The sequence below is a fragment of the Homo sapiens genome, chromosome 12, assembly GCF_000001405.40.
Source record: "Homo sapiens chromosome 12, GRCh38.p14 Primary Assembly".
NCBI lineage: Eukaryota > Metazoa > Chordata > Mammalia > Primates > Hominidae > Homo > Homo sapiens.
Window position 1 is genome coordinate 69757228 of NC_000012.12, and position 16474 is coordinate 69773701.

General features: G+C 40.1%; 1 protein-coding gene across 13 annotated transcripts in view, besides 1 other annotated feature; it reads left to right on the forward strand.

The window, feature by feature from the left end:
- RAB3IP (RAB3A interacting protein) overlaps nt 1–16474 on the forward strand; it is an 84963-nt gene that overhangs the window by 18986 nt on the left and 49503 nt on the right. The window lies entirely within an intron of this gene.
- Nucleotides 2296–2887: an enhancer, noted in NCBI's record as "H3K27ac hESC enhancer chr12:70153303-70153894 (GRCh37/hg19 assembly coordinates)". NCBI's record gives its function as "activates a minimal SCP1, AML or CMV promoter by ChIP-STARR-seq in naive H9 embryonic stem cells {active_cell/tissue: H9 hESC(naive)}" and the evidence as "EXISTENCE:reporter gene assay evidence [ECO:0000049][PMID:30033119]".

Here is a 16474-nt window from a genome sequence, read left to right on the forward strand (position 1 = left end):
GCATACATCAGAAAACAGGAAAAGTCTCAAATGGACAATCTAAGCTCCCACTTTAAGAATCTGTAAAAAGAAGAGCAAAATAAAACCAGAGCAAGTAGAAGGAAGGAAATAATAAAGAGCAAAAATCAATGAAATTGATAACAGAAAAAATAGAGAAAATGAGTGAGACAAAATGTTGGTTCTTTAAGAAGATTAATAAAATTGCAAACCTCTAGCAAGACTGACAAAAAGAAGACAGATTTATCAGTAGCAGGAGTGAAATGCAGGATGTCACTGGAGACTCATATCAAAAGTATAATGGAATGATATGAAAAACTGCATATATAAACCTGACAACCTAGGTGAAATACCAATTCACATGTAGAAAATTGAGAAGGTAGGGCAAACATTTATAGGTGTAATATCCAACCTACCATGACATTTCACAAATGTATTCCCACTCTTTCCCTAGCATACTTGTCTCTCATGAGCGTAGTATATTCATTTTTTTAATCCCCAGTTCCTTCCCAAAGGAAAAGGATGTGGTGAGATGTGGTTGCATTTTGTTTCTGTCATCTGGCTCAGACTTTGTTGTCTTAATAGATAGTATTTTATTAAAATCACACATTATATAGAGGTAAAATTTTGAGTATATGTATCCATCTTTGAGAACACATGGTTATTGATCAGAACAGATTGCTAATTTCTTAGCTCACTTGAGAATTTCCTTTGAAATCTCTAATATGCTGTATTTAGAGATACTGTTTGGATAATTGAAATGGTGATGTGTAAACACATATGTGGTGACTTTTATGAAGAGTATAAGTTAGTATTAATATTTACTTAGATCTCAAGGCTTGAAAAGGACTCTTGAATATAAAAATACTTCCTGAATTGTGACAACTTGTGAATCAAACTATGTCAACAGCCATTTTCTTTAGTCTTATCTTAAGAGAGGCCATTTTCTATACTTTTTACTTACTTGGTTAACTGTGTCTTCCTATTTAATACGAGTTTCTTATAGATAGTGTACAGTTAGGTCTTGTTCTTTTGATCCTTTGTAATTATCTCTGTCTTTTAATTGGTGTTTAGACCATTTACATTTAATGGATAATGGTATAGTTTGGTTTAAATTTACCATCTTACTGTTTGTTTTCTGTTTGTCTCATTTGTTCCTTTTTCCCTTTTGTATCCTTTCTTTTGAATTAATTCTGTATTTTTAAAACAATTTCATCTTCCTGTGGCTTTTATCTTTGTTGCTTTAGCGTTTATAGTAGACATATTTAACTTATCACTCTCTACCTTCCGGTGATATATTACTTTACATCTGGTGTACAAACCTTACAAAAGTATACTTTTATTTTTCCCCTCCTAGTTTTTGTGCAATAATTGTTGTATGTTTCACTTCTTTGTGTGTTTAAACCCCACAAAACACTATTGTTTTGCATTAAACAGTATTATCTTTTAAAGAGACTTAAATAATAACAAAGAATCTTTACATAGATAAACATCAGAAATGTTAGCTACATGGGCATCTGTGTGTTCATTCCTTTTTTTTTTTTTTTTTTTTTTTTTACAAGTTTTACTTTTATTTTTGAATGATAGTTTAACGGGGCATACAATTCTAGGTTGATGGTTGTTTTTTTTTTTCTCAACAAACACTTTCATAATTTTACGTCTTTGTCTTCCGGCATCTATCATTGTTGATGAGAAGCCAGCTGTCAATGTAGTTGTCATTCCTTTGTAGATAATTGGTTTTCTTCCTCCTTCTGGTCACTTCTAAGATTTTTTTTTTTTAATTGATCATTCTTGGGTGTTTCTCGCAGAGGGGGATTTGGCAGGGTCATAGGACAATAGTGGAGGGAAGGTCAGCAGATAAACAAGTGAACAAAGGTCTCTGGTTTTCCTAGGCAGAGGACCCTGCGGCCTTCCGCAGTGTTTGTGTCCCTGGGTACTTGAGATTAGGGAGTGGTGATGACTCTTAACGAGCGTGCTGCCTTCAAGCATCTGTTTAACAAAGCACATCTTGCACCGCCCTTAATCCATTTAACCCTGAGTGGACACAGCACATGTTTCAGAGAGCACAGGGTTGGGGGTAAGGTCATAGATCAACAGCATCCCAAGGCAGAAGAATTTTTCTTAGTACAGAACAAAATGAAGTCTCCTATGTCTACTTCTTTCTACACAGACACAGCAACAATCTGATTTCTCTATCTTTTCCCCACCTTTCCCCCTTTTCTATTCCACAAAACCGCCATCGTCATCATGGCCCGTTCTCAATGAGCTGTTGGGTACACCTCCCAGACGGGGTGGTGGCCGGGCAGAGGAGCTCCTCACTTCCCAGAAGGGGCGGCCGGGCAGAGGCGCCTCCGACCTCCCGGACGGGGCGGCGGCCGGGCGGAGGCGCCCCCCACCTCCCTCCTGGACGGGGCGGCTGGCTGGGCGGGGGCTGAACCCCCACCTCCCGGACGGGGCGGCTGGCCGGGCAGGGGCTGACCCCCCACCTCCCTCCCGGACGGGGCGGCTGCCGGGCGGGGGCTGACCCCCCACCTCCCTCCCGGATGGGGCGGCTGGCCGGGCGGGGGCTGACCTCCCACCTCCCTCCCGGACGGGGCGGCTGCCGGGCGGAGGGGCTCCTCACTTCTCAGACGGGGCTGCCGGGCAGAGACGCTCCTCACCTCCCAGACGGGGTCGCGGCTGGACAGAGGCGCTCCCCACATCTCAGACGATGGGTGGCCGGGCAGAGACGCTCCTCACTTCCCAGACGGGGTGGCGGCCGGGCAGAGGCTGCAATCTCGTCACTTTGGGAGGCCAAGGCAGGCGGCTGGGAGGTGGAGGTTGTAGCTAGCCGAGATCATGCCACTGCACTCCAGCCTGGGCAACATTGAGCCCTGAGTGAATGAGACTCCGTCTGCAATCCCGGCACCTCGGGAGGCCGAGGCTGGCGGATCACTCACGGTTAGGAGCTGGAGACCAGCCCGGCCAACACAGCGAAACCCCGTCTCCACCAAAAAAATACGAAAACCAGTCAGGCGTGGCGGCGTGCGCCTGCAATAGCAGGCACTCGGCAGGCTGAGGCAGGAGAATCAGGCAGGGAGGTTGCAGTGAGCCAAGATGGCAGCAGTACAGTCCAGCTTTGGCTCGGCATCAGAGGGAGACCGTGGAAAGAGAGGGCGAGGGAGACCGTGGGGAGAGGGAGAGGGAGACTGTGGGGAGAGGGAGAGGGAGAGGGAGAGCCTCCAACTCTCCTCTTGCTCAGGATCCGTTTGGGGACTTGCTCTGTGTGTTCATTCCTTTGGTATTCATTTCTTCATGTGGATCCAGATTTCCAACTCGTATCATTTTTCCTTTGGCTTGAAGGACATCCTTTTACATTTTTGTTGTGCATGTTTGATGGTGATAAATTCTTTTAGCTTTTGTATGTCTGTGTTCATTTTTGGTTTTTGAAAGATATTTTCACTGAGTAAAGAATTTAAGATTGATAATTTTTTTTTTTTTGTTACTGTAAAGATGTTGCTTCAGTGTTTTCAAGCATGTACATTGTTTCTCACAAGAAGTCTGCTGTTACCCTTACCTTTGTTCCTCTGCGTATTAGGTCTTTTCTCTCTGGCTGCTTATGAGAGTCCTCTCTCACTGGCATAAGCAATGTGATTGTGATTTGCTTTGGTGTAGTTTCTTCAGCTTTCTTATGTTTGGGATTTATTGAGCTTCTTGAAGCTGTAGGTTGTTAGTTTTCATAAAATTTGGGAAATTTTGGCCTTTATATCTTCAAAAAGTTTTCCATTCTTCCTCTCTCTCTCCTTTCCTCTGGATTCCTATTACATGTACATTAGACTGCTTAAACTTATCTCACAGCTTGCTGGTGTTACAGTCTTTCATTTAAAAATCTTTTTTTCCTCACTGTGTTTCATTGTGGGTAGTTTCTATTGCTATGTCTTCAAAGTCACTACTCTTTTCTTCTGAAATATCTAATCTGTTAATCCCATACAGTATGTTTTTAAACTAGACATTGTAGTTTTCATCTCTGAAAGTTTGATTTGGATCTTTTTTATACTTTGCTTGCTCTGCTTAATATGTTGGGATGCAGTTTAATAAATGTTTTGTTTCTAATTATTTCATCTCTTCAGATAATAAGCTGGGGCAGATCTGGGGTGCACATTTTGTTTTTCATTTCTAGGGGATCACTGTCTTTTATTGCCTAATATCAAATGCTTCAAATTGTTGATCCATATATTTTTTCAGAGTTTTAGTTGTGTCAGATGGGTGGTAAATCTAATCCCTGTTCCTCTATCTTAATTGGAAGTGAAAGTTCTACTTACTCATTTATATTACTTCATTGTCTACCCCATTCAAGTAATCCACATAGAAAAACCTGCATTTATACACACATGCTTCAGTACTTCTGAGATTCATGAGGATAAGGATTGCATATGTTTGTGCTCATGATTATATCTTGAGCATATAATGGGTTTTCAATACATTTTGTTGATTAAATGAATATATACATGTATATGCGGTTATACAAGTGTTTGTATACACACATGCCTGATATATTAGGGTGATGCTTATAAGTAACCCCCAAATTTTCGTGACTTTACCTAATAGAAGTTCATTTTTATTCATTTAACACTCTGAAGCAGATGTTCATAGTTGGTAGGCAGTTCTCTGTGAAATAATTCAGAGATCTGTTTCTCTTCTGTTTGGGGCCTTTGTAATTTCTTAGGGTTTTATTGTTATTTGTATCTAACCAATGAGACAAAAGGGAAAGACAGCTTAGAGAAGGTACAGCTTCTTCTAAAAAACCTTGGCTTAGATATGATACACATCACTTTTGCTCACATTCTATTGGTGTGAACCTTTCATGCCAATACCTAGATGTATGGTGGGCTGGGTAATGTAATCCCTGGATGGACAACCACTTCCCAGCAACAAATCCATACTGTGTGTGTAGGGGGACCAATCATGTGGTCACTTATTTTCAGGTGCAGGGATGCCAGAGATTATGATGTAGTCATTTAGCTGTTTGGCCTTCCATAGGATATTTCTGAAGAGCAGCTTTTAGTGGAATTCTCAGGAGGAAATTGGGCTTTAGTGCATTCTTATTAAGTATAGATCCTTGCACTCTACTCCAGATCTGCTGAAATCAAATTATTGTGTTGAGGTTTGGGAATATGCATTTTCATCAAACTTGTTGATTCTTACATTCACTAAAAGGTGAAATCTGCTGTAAGAGGTTATTTTAAACTTTTATTTTTCTTAAAAGAAAATGAGCTGGGCGAAGTGGCTCACGCCTGTAGTCCCAGCACTTTGGGAGGCCGAGGCGGGCAGATCACCAGGTTAGGAGATCGAGACCATCCTGGCTAACACGGTGAAACCGCTTCTCTACTAAAAATACAAAAAATTAGCCAGGTGTGGTGGCAGACGCCTGTAGTCCCAGCTGCTTGGGAGGCTGAGGCAGGAGACTGGCGTGAACCCAGGAGGTGGAGCTTGCAGTGAGCTGAGATTGCGCCACTGCACTCCAGCCTAGGCAACAGAGGGAGACTCCGTCTCAAAAAAAAAAAAAAAAAAAAAAAGAAAAAAGAGAAAAAGAGAAAAAGAAAAAGAAAATGAAATGACTTAGAAAATAAAGCCCAGTAGGATAGCTTGCAAAGAGAGTCATTGAAAATCACATACTTGCACTAACCCTATTCAGTATTGGTTCTACTAACTGTAGCCAAAGACATTTGTAAACATTAACAAATATTTTTTTATGAGATAAAACTATAAATTTTATTTTGCTTCTCAACATAAGCTCCGTCAAGTTGAAGACACTTTTATAAGGGATGATAACCAGCCATTTAGTTCATCCTTAAAGAACTGAGGGTGCTGGGAATTTAACCATGTCAATGCAGTCTTTTTTACATTATTAGCTGAAGAAAAATGGATGCTTTTTAAATATTTTTTTAAGATTGTGAACAAAGAATTCTGAAGGAGCCAAATAAGGATTGCAAGGTGTATGCCTAATGATTTTTCATGGAAACTCTCACAAAATTGCCCTTGATGAGAGGAATGAGCAGGAACATTGTTGTGGTGGAGAACGACTCTGGTGAAGCTCTCTTGGGCATCTTTCTGCTAAAACTGTGACTAACTTTCTCAAAACACTCTGATAGTAAGCAGTTGTTAACCATTCTTTGGCCCTCCAGAAAATCAACCAGCAAAATGCCTTGAGCATGTAAAAAATTGTTGCCATGACCCTTGCTCTTGATCAGTCCACTTTTGCTTTGACTGGACCACTTCCACCTCTTGGTAGCCATTGCTTTGATTGTACTTTGTCTTCAGCATCATACAGGAAAAGTTATGTTTCATCTCCTATTATAATTCTTTGAAAATGCTTCAGGATCTTGATCTCACTTGTTAAAATTTTTTTTTCTTCAACTTTTATTTTAAATTTAGGGGGTATATGTGCAGGTATATTACCTGGATATATTGTATAGTTCTGTGGTTTAGGTTATGAATAATCCTGTCACCCTGGTACTGAGCATAGTACCCAATTGTTAGTTTGTCAGCCCTTGTCCCCCTCCCCTGTCTAGTAGTCCCCAGTTTCTATTTTTCCCATCTTTAGGTCCATGAGTACAATGTTTAGCTCCCACTTATAAGTGAAAAAAATGCAATACTTGGTGTTCTGTTCCTATGTTAATTTGCTTAGGATAATAGCCTCCAGCTGCATCAGTGTTGCTGCAGAGGAATTTATTTTGTTCTTTTTTAATGGCTATATAATATTCCTTGGTGTATATGCACTACATTTTCTTTATCTGATCCACTGTTGATGAGCATCTAGGTTGATTCCATGTCTTTGCTATTGTGCATAGTGCTGGGATGAACATGTGAGTGCATGTGTCTTTTTGGGAGAACAGTTTATTTTCTTTTGGATATATACCCAGTAATGGGATTGCTGAGTTGAATGGTGGTAATTCTTTCCCAAGGCTGATGTCCAGAATGGTGTTTCCTAGGTTTTTTTCTAGGATTCTTATGGCTTATGGATTCTTATGGCTTATTCCTAGGTTGTTTTCTAGGATTCTTATGGCAAAGATTTCTTACATTGAAATCTTTAATCTATCTTAATTTTTGTATATGGTGAAGGGGGATGGGTATTCCAGTTTCATTCTTCTGCATATGCCTAGCCAGCTATCCTAGCACCATTTGTTGAATAAGGAGTCATTTCCTCATTGCTTATTTTTGTTGATTTTTGTCAAAGATCAGATGGCTGTAGGTCCAGGGCTTTATTTCTGGGTTCTGTATTTTGTTCCATTAGTCTATGTGTCTGTTTTTGTACCAGCACCATGCTGTTTTGATTACTGTAACCTTATAAAATAGATTGAAGTCAAGTAATATGGTACCTCTGACTTCTTTTTTCAAAGGATTGCTTTGGCCATTCAGGCCCTTGTGTGGTTCCATATGAGTTTTTAAATACTTTTTTTTTTTTTAGTTCTGTGAAAAACAACATTGGTAGTTTGATAGGAATACCGTTGAATCTGTAGATTGCTTTGGGCAGTATGGCCATTTTAACAATGTTGATTCTTCCAGTCCATGAGCATGAAATATTTTTAAAATTTCTTTGTGTTATTTATGATTTAACGGTATTTTATAGTTCTCTTTGTAGAGATCTTTCACCCCCTTGGTTGGATGTATTCCTAGGTATTTGTGTGTGTGTGTGGTTATTGTAAATGAGATTGTGTTCTTGATTTGCTCTCACCTTGAATGTTATTGGTGTATACAAATGCTGCTGAATTTTGTACATTGACTTTGTATCTGGAAACTTTACTGGAGTCATTTATCAGTTCCAGGAACCTTTTGGAAGAGTCTTTATGGTTCTTCAGGTATAAAATCATATAGTCTGTAGGAGAGGTAATTTGACTTTTTCTTTTCATGTTTGGTTGCCTTTTACTTTTTTCTCTTGCTGGATTCCTCTGGCTAACACTTCCAGTACTATGTTGAATAGGAATGGTGAGAGTGGGCATCGTCGTCTTGTTCCAGTTCTTGGGGAAGCCTTCCAATTTTTGTCCATTCAGTATGATGTTGGCTGTGGGTTTGTCATAGATGGCTCTTATTATTTTGAGGTACATTTCTTTGATGCCTAATTTCTTTAGCGTTTTTATCGTGAAAGGATGTTGGATCTTATTGAAAGCTTTTTCCACCTCTGTTGAGATGATCGTATGGCTTTTGTTTTTAATTCTATTTATGTTGTGAATCACATTTATTGACTTGTGTATATTGAACCAGTCTTGCATCCCAGGAATAAAGCCTACTTGATCATAATGAATTAACTTTTTGATGTGCTGTTGGAATCAGTTTGGTAGTATTTTGTTGAGGATTTTTGAATCTGTGTTCACCAGGGATATTGGCCTGTGTACTTAAGTGTGACCAGGAGGTCTGCCTGAGCATGGAGCAGAGAGGACCCGCCTATATCAAAGCCTCTGCACAGGAGGAGTGAGGCAACTCAGGCTGCCGAACGAAGCATGCAGGTGCTTTGAATGCATGGAGATCTGCCTGGGCATGTGGCAGAGAGGATCTCTAATTTTTGTGGTAGCAGGTATCATTCTTTTGTTTCTATGTTTAGAACTCTCTTAAGGGTATCTTGTAAGGCTAGTCTAGTGGTAATGAATTCCCTTAGCAGTTGCTTGTCTGGAAAATATTTTATTTCTCCTTTGCTTATGAAGCTTAGTTTGACAGGATATGAAATTCTTGGTTAGAATTTCTTTTCTTTCAGAATGCTGGAAATAGGTCCCCAATCTATCCTGGCTTGTAAGGTTTCTGCTGAGAAGTCCAAAGCCTGGTATGGCTCCATTTGTATGTGATTATGTAATCTAACCTTTTTCTCAGCCTTTAAGTATTTTTGTTTGTTTTGTTGTGTTTTGCATTGACCTTGGACAGTCTGGTGACTATGTCCTGTGACGATCTTCATTTTGGATAGTATCTTGCAGTTCTCTAGATTTTTTGTATCTGGGTGTTTACCTTTCTAGCAAGGTTAGGGAAATTTTCTTGAATTACTCCCTCAAATATGTTTTCCAGGTTGTTTACTTTTTCTTCTTCTTAGGAATGCCAATAATTCATAGGTTTGTTTCTTTTATGTAATCCCATATTTCTCAACGACTTTGTTCATTTTTTAAAATTATTTTCTCTTTATTTTTGTTTGACCAGGTTAATTCCAAAGACCATTTTTCAAGCCCTGAAATTCTTTTTTCTGTTCGGTCCCATCTGTTGCTAAAGCTTTCAATTGTATTTTCAAATTCCTTACGTCAGTTTTTTGGTTCCAGAAACTCTGATTTCTTTTTCTTTTCTTTTCTTTTTTTTTTTAAGACAGTTTCACTCTTGTCACCCAGGCTGGAGTGCAATGGCACCATCTCGGCTCACTGCAACCTCCGCTTCCCAGGTTCAAGTGATTCTCCTGCCTCAGTCTCCCGAAGTAGCTGGGATTACAGGCGCCTGCCACCATGCCCAGCTATTTTTTTTTTGTATTTTCAGTTGAGATGGGGTTTCACCATGTTGGCCAGGCTGGTCTTGAACTCCTGACCTCAGGTGATCCACCCACTTCGGCCTCCCAAAGTGCTGGGATTACAGGCATGAGCCACCATGCCCGGTGCAGAACCTCTGATTTCTTTTGAATATGTTTATTTCTTCTTTTATTTCCTGGATTGCTTTAGAAGTTTCTTCTATGTTGATTGTCAACTCTGTCTTGGATCTCATTGATCTTCCTTGCAATTCATGTTTTGAATTCTTTATCTGTCATTTCTGAGTTCACATTTTAGTTAAGAACTGTTGCTGGAGAGCTAGTGCTATCCCTTGGTGGTGTTACTACATTTAGATTTTTCATCATGCCAGAATTCTTCCACTGGTTTCTCCTCATCTGGAGATGATTGCACTTCTAATTTTTGTAATTAATTTCATGTGAGTAGGATTTTTTTTCTTCCCTATAATTGTTTTTTTCTTTTCCTTTCTTTTCCTCCCTATTGGGGTGTGACTGTAGAGAATTCTGGGTAGGATCTTTTGGTTTTGCTTCTATAGTTCTGTGCACTTCTTTCAGCAGGTTTTATATTGGGCTGTGCATTTGACCTACAAGTCAGTAGGCCATGCTTATTGATAAGAGTCAGCTGTAGCCAATGCTGCTGGGTATATACTTGTTTAATGGTAGAAACTCTGTTGCCTCAGGCAGTGGTCTGAGCTCCCTGCTCAGCTCCAGGGGGATGGGGCCATGATTGGTGAGAACGACTGGGCAAATCTGCCAAAGGTTCACTCATGGCAAGCACAAACACCAGTGCTGACGGTGAATCCAATGGGCGGCCACCAAGTACCCAGAAGTGTGCCTAGGCATGGAGCTGGGAATCCCCTTCAGCCCTAAGTTCTCTGCATGGGAGTCGGAGTAGCCTAAATTCTTGATCTAAGAGAGTTGGTGCTCCAGGTGCCTGGAGGTCTGCCTGGGCGTGGAGCAGAGAGGACCCCCCTATACCAAGGCCTCTGCACAGGAGGAGTGAGGCAACTCAGGCTGCCAAACCAAGCATACAGGTGCTTTGAATGCCTGGAGATCTGCCTGGGCATGTGACAGAACCTGCCTGCCCCAGGATCTCTGCACAGGAAGGTTGGGGTGGCTCAGACTGCTGATTCAGGTGAGTGGGATCTCTGAATGCCTGGAGATCTGCCTCAGTGTGAAGTGGAGAAGACCCCCTTTCACCAAGATTTCTGCACAAGAGGGGTGAGGTTACTCATGCTCCTGAACCAGACAAACAGGTGCTTTGAATGCCTGGAGATCTGCTTGGGCATTTAACAGAAAGGGAACCCCTCCACCAGGATATCTGCACAGGAAGGGTGGTGGAGCAGCTCAAGCTTCTGATCCAGCAAGCTGGTTCCCTGAATGTCTGCAGATCTGCTTGGGTGTGTAGTGGAGAGGACCTCACTGTACCGTGATCTGCATCCAGTAAGGATGGTGCCAGCTCAGCCTGCTGAACCAGATGCACAGGCACTCTGAATGCCTGGAGATCTGCCTGGGCATGGACCAGAGAGGGTCTTGCTGTACCACAGTCTATGTCCAGGAAAGGGTAGGGTGGTTCAGGCTACTGATTCAGGTGAGTGGGTGCTCCAAATACCTGGAGATCTGCCTGGATATGGAGTGGAGAGAGCTCTGCTGCACCACAATCTATGTCCATGACGGGTGAGGTGGTGCAGGCTGCTGGTCAAGAAAAGTAGGTGCTCCAAATGCTTGGAGATCTTCCTGGGAATGGAGCAGAGAAGGCCCTGCTATGCTACAGTGTATGCCCAGGAAAGGTGGGGCTGCTCAGGCTGCTGGGCCAGGCAGGTGGGTGCTCTGAATGCCTGGATTTCTCCCTGGGGTGGAGTGAGAGGACTCCACTGCACCGCGATCTCAGGAACAGACTGAGGCACCCAGCAGTGTCTCACGCAGATCAGTTCATGTTGCCAAACTGGCCCTGGCTGCAAGCCTTGCTGCCCAGGAGAAACTGCTGTGGTAATAGTTCTCCTCCTGCCCCAACCCTGTGACAGGGAAGAGTACAATTCCAGTGTCTACTACTCCAGTACTTTCCACAGTTCTGCTTGTGGAGGCCCTGACCTCACTCTAAAACAGGTGCTCCAATCTCTGTCCTAAGACTAAAATGCATGAATGGCCATGTTGCCAGGTTGTCAAAGAATGGCTGACTTCGTATGTACCCTGATAGGGTTTGGCTGTGTCCCCACCCAAATCTCATCTTGAATTCCCATGTGTTGTGGGAGGGACCCTGTGGGAGGTAATTGAATCATGGGGTCAGGTCTTTCCTGGGCTGTTCTCCTGATACTGAATAAGTATGAGGTCTGATGGTTTTATGGGGGGTAGTTTCCCTGCTCAATCTCTCTTCTGTTGTCTGCCACCATGTTAGATGTGTATTTCGCCTTCTGCCGTGATTGTAAGCCTCCTCAGCAATGTGGGAACTGTAAGTCCGTTAAACCTCTTTCTTTCATAAATTGCCCAGTCTTGGGTATGTCTTTATCAGCAGCATGAAAACAGACTAATACGTGCCCAGATTAAAAATGGCATTCTGCTTTTGGTCCTGGATTTGGGAACATGTCTGCAGCTTTTCCCAGTGTCTTTCCTTCATAGCATCTCCAAGCCTCTCTCCAAGTTAACTCCAGGGATTGGGAGAAACAAAGTGCTCTCCTTCAGCCAGGATAGGGAACCCCAGTGGACAGGTGAATCACAGAGGGAAGTTCTCTGCCTCTCTCACCTACTGGGACTTCACTCACTTTTATCAGCCAGACACTATCACGGGGGCTGTTTGTCAGCATTCTCCTCCCTGGTATCTGGGGTGTCTTTTGTGATTCTGGTGGATTGCTGTTTTCCTTTTATGCCTTATCTTGTGACTTCCAAGTGGCCAAGGCATGCCCAAATCCTCTAATCTACCATCATGGGGAAGCAGAAAACCAGAAACAAATATTTATTGAATAACCAAAGTACTCAACAGCATTACAGTAGGTTGTGTAGGGGGCAAAAATAATATAGATATGTCTCTCTTTAAGGAGTTTACTAGTTGGGGAGAAGTAGCATGTATTTTATGGTGATGTTTCATTGATTCTGAGTTGTACATTTTTTTCAACTAACATCTCTGAAATCAGTAAAAGTCAAAATTATAGTCAGCTAGACATTAATCATGACATTTATCATTGCCTTCTTGTGTGTGAACTTGTCATAGCTGTGTTATAAATTTAATTGAATTATGTGAGTTGGGTTCCGTATTTGTGATCTTAATTACCGAATTAAATATCTTCAAAAGGATCTCACTGTGATATGACATCAAAACAGAAAGGCACAAAAAAGCACAGTTACATATGATAAAAGTCTATGTCTTCATCAGTTTAAGAGAGTCTTCCTATAAGTTTAAAATAAAAATTCCAGTTGGAAAAAAGAACATTATAGATTCATTAATAACATATTTTTAATGTCTAAAATTTTTTCTAAAAAATGATGAAGTCTTGGATTTGATGAAATACACTTGATTATAGAGTTGTAAATATACTCATCCCTTGGTATCCACTGGGGGTTTTGTTCCAGTCCTCCAAATCCGCCCCCCCACCCTGCCGGGGATTCCAAAATCGATAGATCCTCAATTGCATAGTGTTTGCATATAACCTATGCACATTCTCCTGTATACTTTAAATCATCTCTACATTACTTATAATACCTAATATAATATAAATGCTGTGTAAATAGTTGTTATACTGTATTGTCTTATACAAATTTGTATTTTTATTGTTTTTTCTCAACATTTTGATCTGTGGTTTGGTGAATATGCAGATGGAACCTGCTGATGCAGAACCTGTGTACACAGAGGGCCAACTGTATCTCTCAAATTTCTTGTCTCCAGTATTACCACTCTGAATCCATATCTCTTGCTTGAAATACTGCAGTGATTAGTTTTGTTTCTTTCCAGTCTTTTTTTTAACCTAGCCATAATGTCCAAGTTACCATTTAAAAAAAAGTTTGATTTTTAACTGACAGGTAGTAATTTTATATATTTATGCAACACAGTATGGTGTATATTTACACATACACATATACATATATACACACACACATTGTATAATGATCAAATCAGACTAATTAGCATTGCCATCACCTCAAATATTTATTGTTTCTTTGTGATGAGACATTAAAAATCTCTTCTATTTTGCAATATATAATAGATTATTAACTGTTGACCCTGCTGTGCAATAGAACACCAGAACTTATTTCTCCCATTTAAACTAACTTCTCATCTGTTTTACCAACCTCTCCTCATTCTACTCCTCCCTACTCTTCCCAGCTTTTGATAACCGCTATTCTCTGCTCTACTTCTATGAGATCAAATTTTTTAGATTTCACATATGAGTGAGATCATGCAATATTTGTCCTTCTGTACTTGGTTTATTTCACTTAACATGATGTCCTCTAGGCTTACCCATATTGTGACAAATGACAGGATTTCATTCTTGTTTATGGCTGAATAGTATTTCATTTTGTATATACACTGCATTTAAAATAATCCAGCAGGGCGTAGTGGCTTATGCCTGTAATCCCAGCACTTTGGAAGGCCAAAGTGGGAGGATGGCTTGACCACAGGCCTTCAAGACCAGCCTAGGCAACATAGCGAGATGCCATTTCTGCAAAAAATAAATTAATCAGACATGGTGGTGCATGCCTGTGTTCCCAGCTACTTGGAAAGCTGAGGTGGGAGGATTGCTTGAGCTTCTGTGGTTGAGGCTGCAGTGAGCTGTGATCATGTCACTGCACTCCAGCCTGGGTGACAGAGTGAGACCCTGTCTCCAAAAAAAAAAAAAAGTTCATTCACTGATGAACACTTAGGTTAATTCCATGTCTTAGCTTTTGAGAATAGTGCTGCGGTAAACTTGGGAGTGCAGCTGTCTCTTTGACATACTGATTTACTTTTCTGTGAATTTTATTCCCAGTAGTGGAATTGCTGGATATTCTATTTTTAATTTTTGGGAGAACCTCCATACTGTTGTCTGTAATGGCTGTACTAATTTATATTACCACCAACACTGTATGAAAGATTTCCTTTCTCCACATCCTCCTCAGTGTTTGTTATTTTTCATCATTTTGATGATAGCCATTCTAAGTGGGTTGAGATGATACCTCATGGTGGTTTTGATTTGTAGTCCCTTAATTATTAATGATGCTGAGCATTTTTTCATATACCTGTTGGCCATTTGTATGTCTTCTGAGAAATGTTTATTCAGGTCTTTTGCCCATTTTAAAATTATGTTATTTGTATTTTTGCCATTGAGTTGTTTCCGTTTCTGGGAGTGAGTGAGTACTGAATTTCCTTACTGTTATTGTATGACAGTCTATCCTTTTATGTCTATTAATATTTGCTCCAATGTAAGGTGCATATATATTTACAATTATTATATCCTCTTTATTGGCCCCCTTATCATTACATAATACTCTTGTTTCTTCTTACAATTTTTGGCTTAAAGTCTGTTTTATCTAATATAAGTATAGGTAGCTACTCCTGCTTTCTCTTGTTTTTCAATTTGCATTGAATGTTTTCCCTTTCAGTCTCTGTATGTCCTTACAGAGGATTTGAGTCTCTTGTAGGCAGGCAGCATGGAGTTGGGTCTTGTTTTTTAAATTCATTCAGTCACTCCGTCTCTTATTGGAGATTTTAATCTGTTTACATTCAACATAATTATTAATAAGTAAAGACATACTACTGCAATTTTGGTACTTCTTTTATAGTTGTTTTGTAGATCCTTCCTTCCACTCTGACTGTCTTCCTTTGTGGTTAAGTGATTTTCTCTAGTAATATGTTTTGACACCTTGCCTTTTACTTTTAGTGTATCTATTGTAGGATTTTGCTTTGTGGTTACCATGAGGCTTACAAAAAACATAACCAGTTATTTTAAACTGCTAACAACTTAATTTTGATCTCAAAGAAAAGAAAGAAAACGTACACTGTAACTCCATTCTTTTCCCACATTTTGAATTTTTGATGTTACAATTTATATCTTTGTGTATTGTCTCTCTCTTAACAAAGTATTACAGTTCTTATTTTTAATAGTTTTGTCTTTTAGTCTTAATAACTAAAGATAGGAGTGGTTAATATACTACTATTACAATATTAGAGTATTCTGAATTTGTCTGTTTACTGACTTGTGCCAGTAATTTTTATACCTTCAGGAGTTTCTTTGTTACATGTTAGCATTCTTTTCTTTCAGATTGAAGAAATCCCTTTAGCATTTCTTGTAAGATAATTCTGATGGTATTGAATTCCTTCAGCTTTTGTTTTTCTGGGAAACTTTTAATCTTCATTTCTGAAAGATGGCTTTGCTGGGTACAGTATTCTTGGTGTTTTTGTTTGTTTTTTCCTTCAGCTTTCTGAATATATTCTCCTACTTCCTCCTGATCTGCAAGGTTCTTGCTGAGAAGTTTGGTGCCAGGCATATTGGAATTCTTTTGTATGTTAACTTGCTTCTTTTCTCTTGCTGCTTTCAGAATCCCCTCCTTGTCTTTGATCTTTGAGAGCTTGATTATAATATGCCTTGGGGTAGTCTTATTTAGGTTGAATATGATTAGTGATCTTTGACTTTCCTTTATCTGGATTTTATTTTTCTTCAGGTTTTGAAAATGTTCTGTTATTATTTTTTTGGATACGCCTTCTACCCATTTGTCTTTCTTTTTTTTTTTTTTTTTTTTTTTTATTATACTCTAAGTTTTAGGGTACATGTGCACATTGTGCAGGTTAGTTACATATGTATACATGTGCCATGCTGGTGTGCTGCACCCACTAATGTGTCATCTAGCATTAGGTATATCTCCCAATGCTATCCCTTCCCCCTCCCCCGACCCCACCACAGTCCCCAGAGTGTGATATTCCCCTTCCTGTGTCCATGTGATCTCATTGTTCAATTCCCACCTATGAGTGAGAATATGCGGTGTTTGGTTTTTTGTTCTTGTGATAGTTTACTGAGAATGATG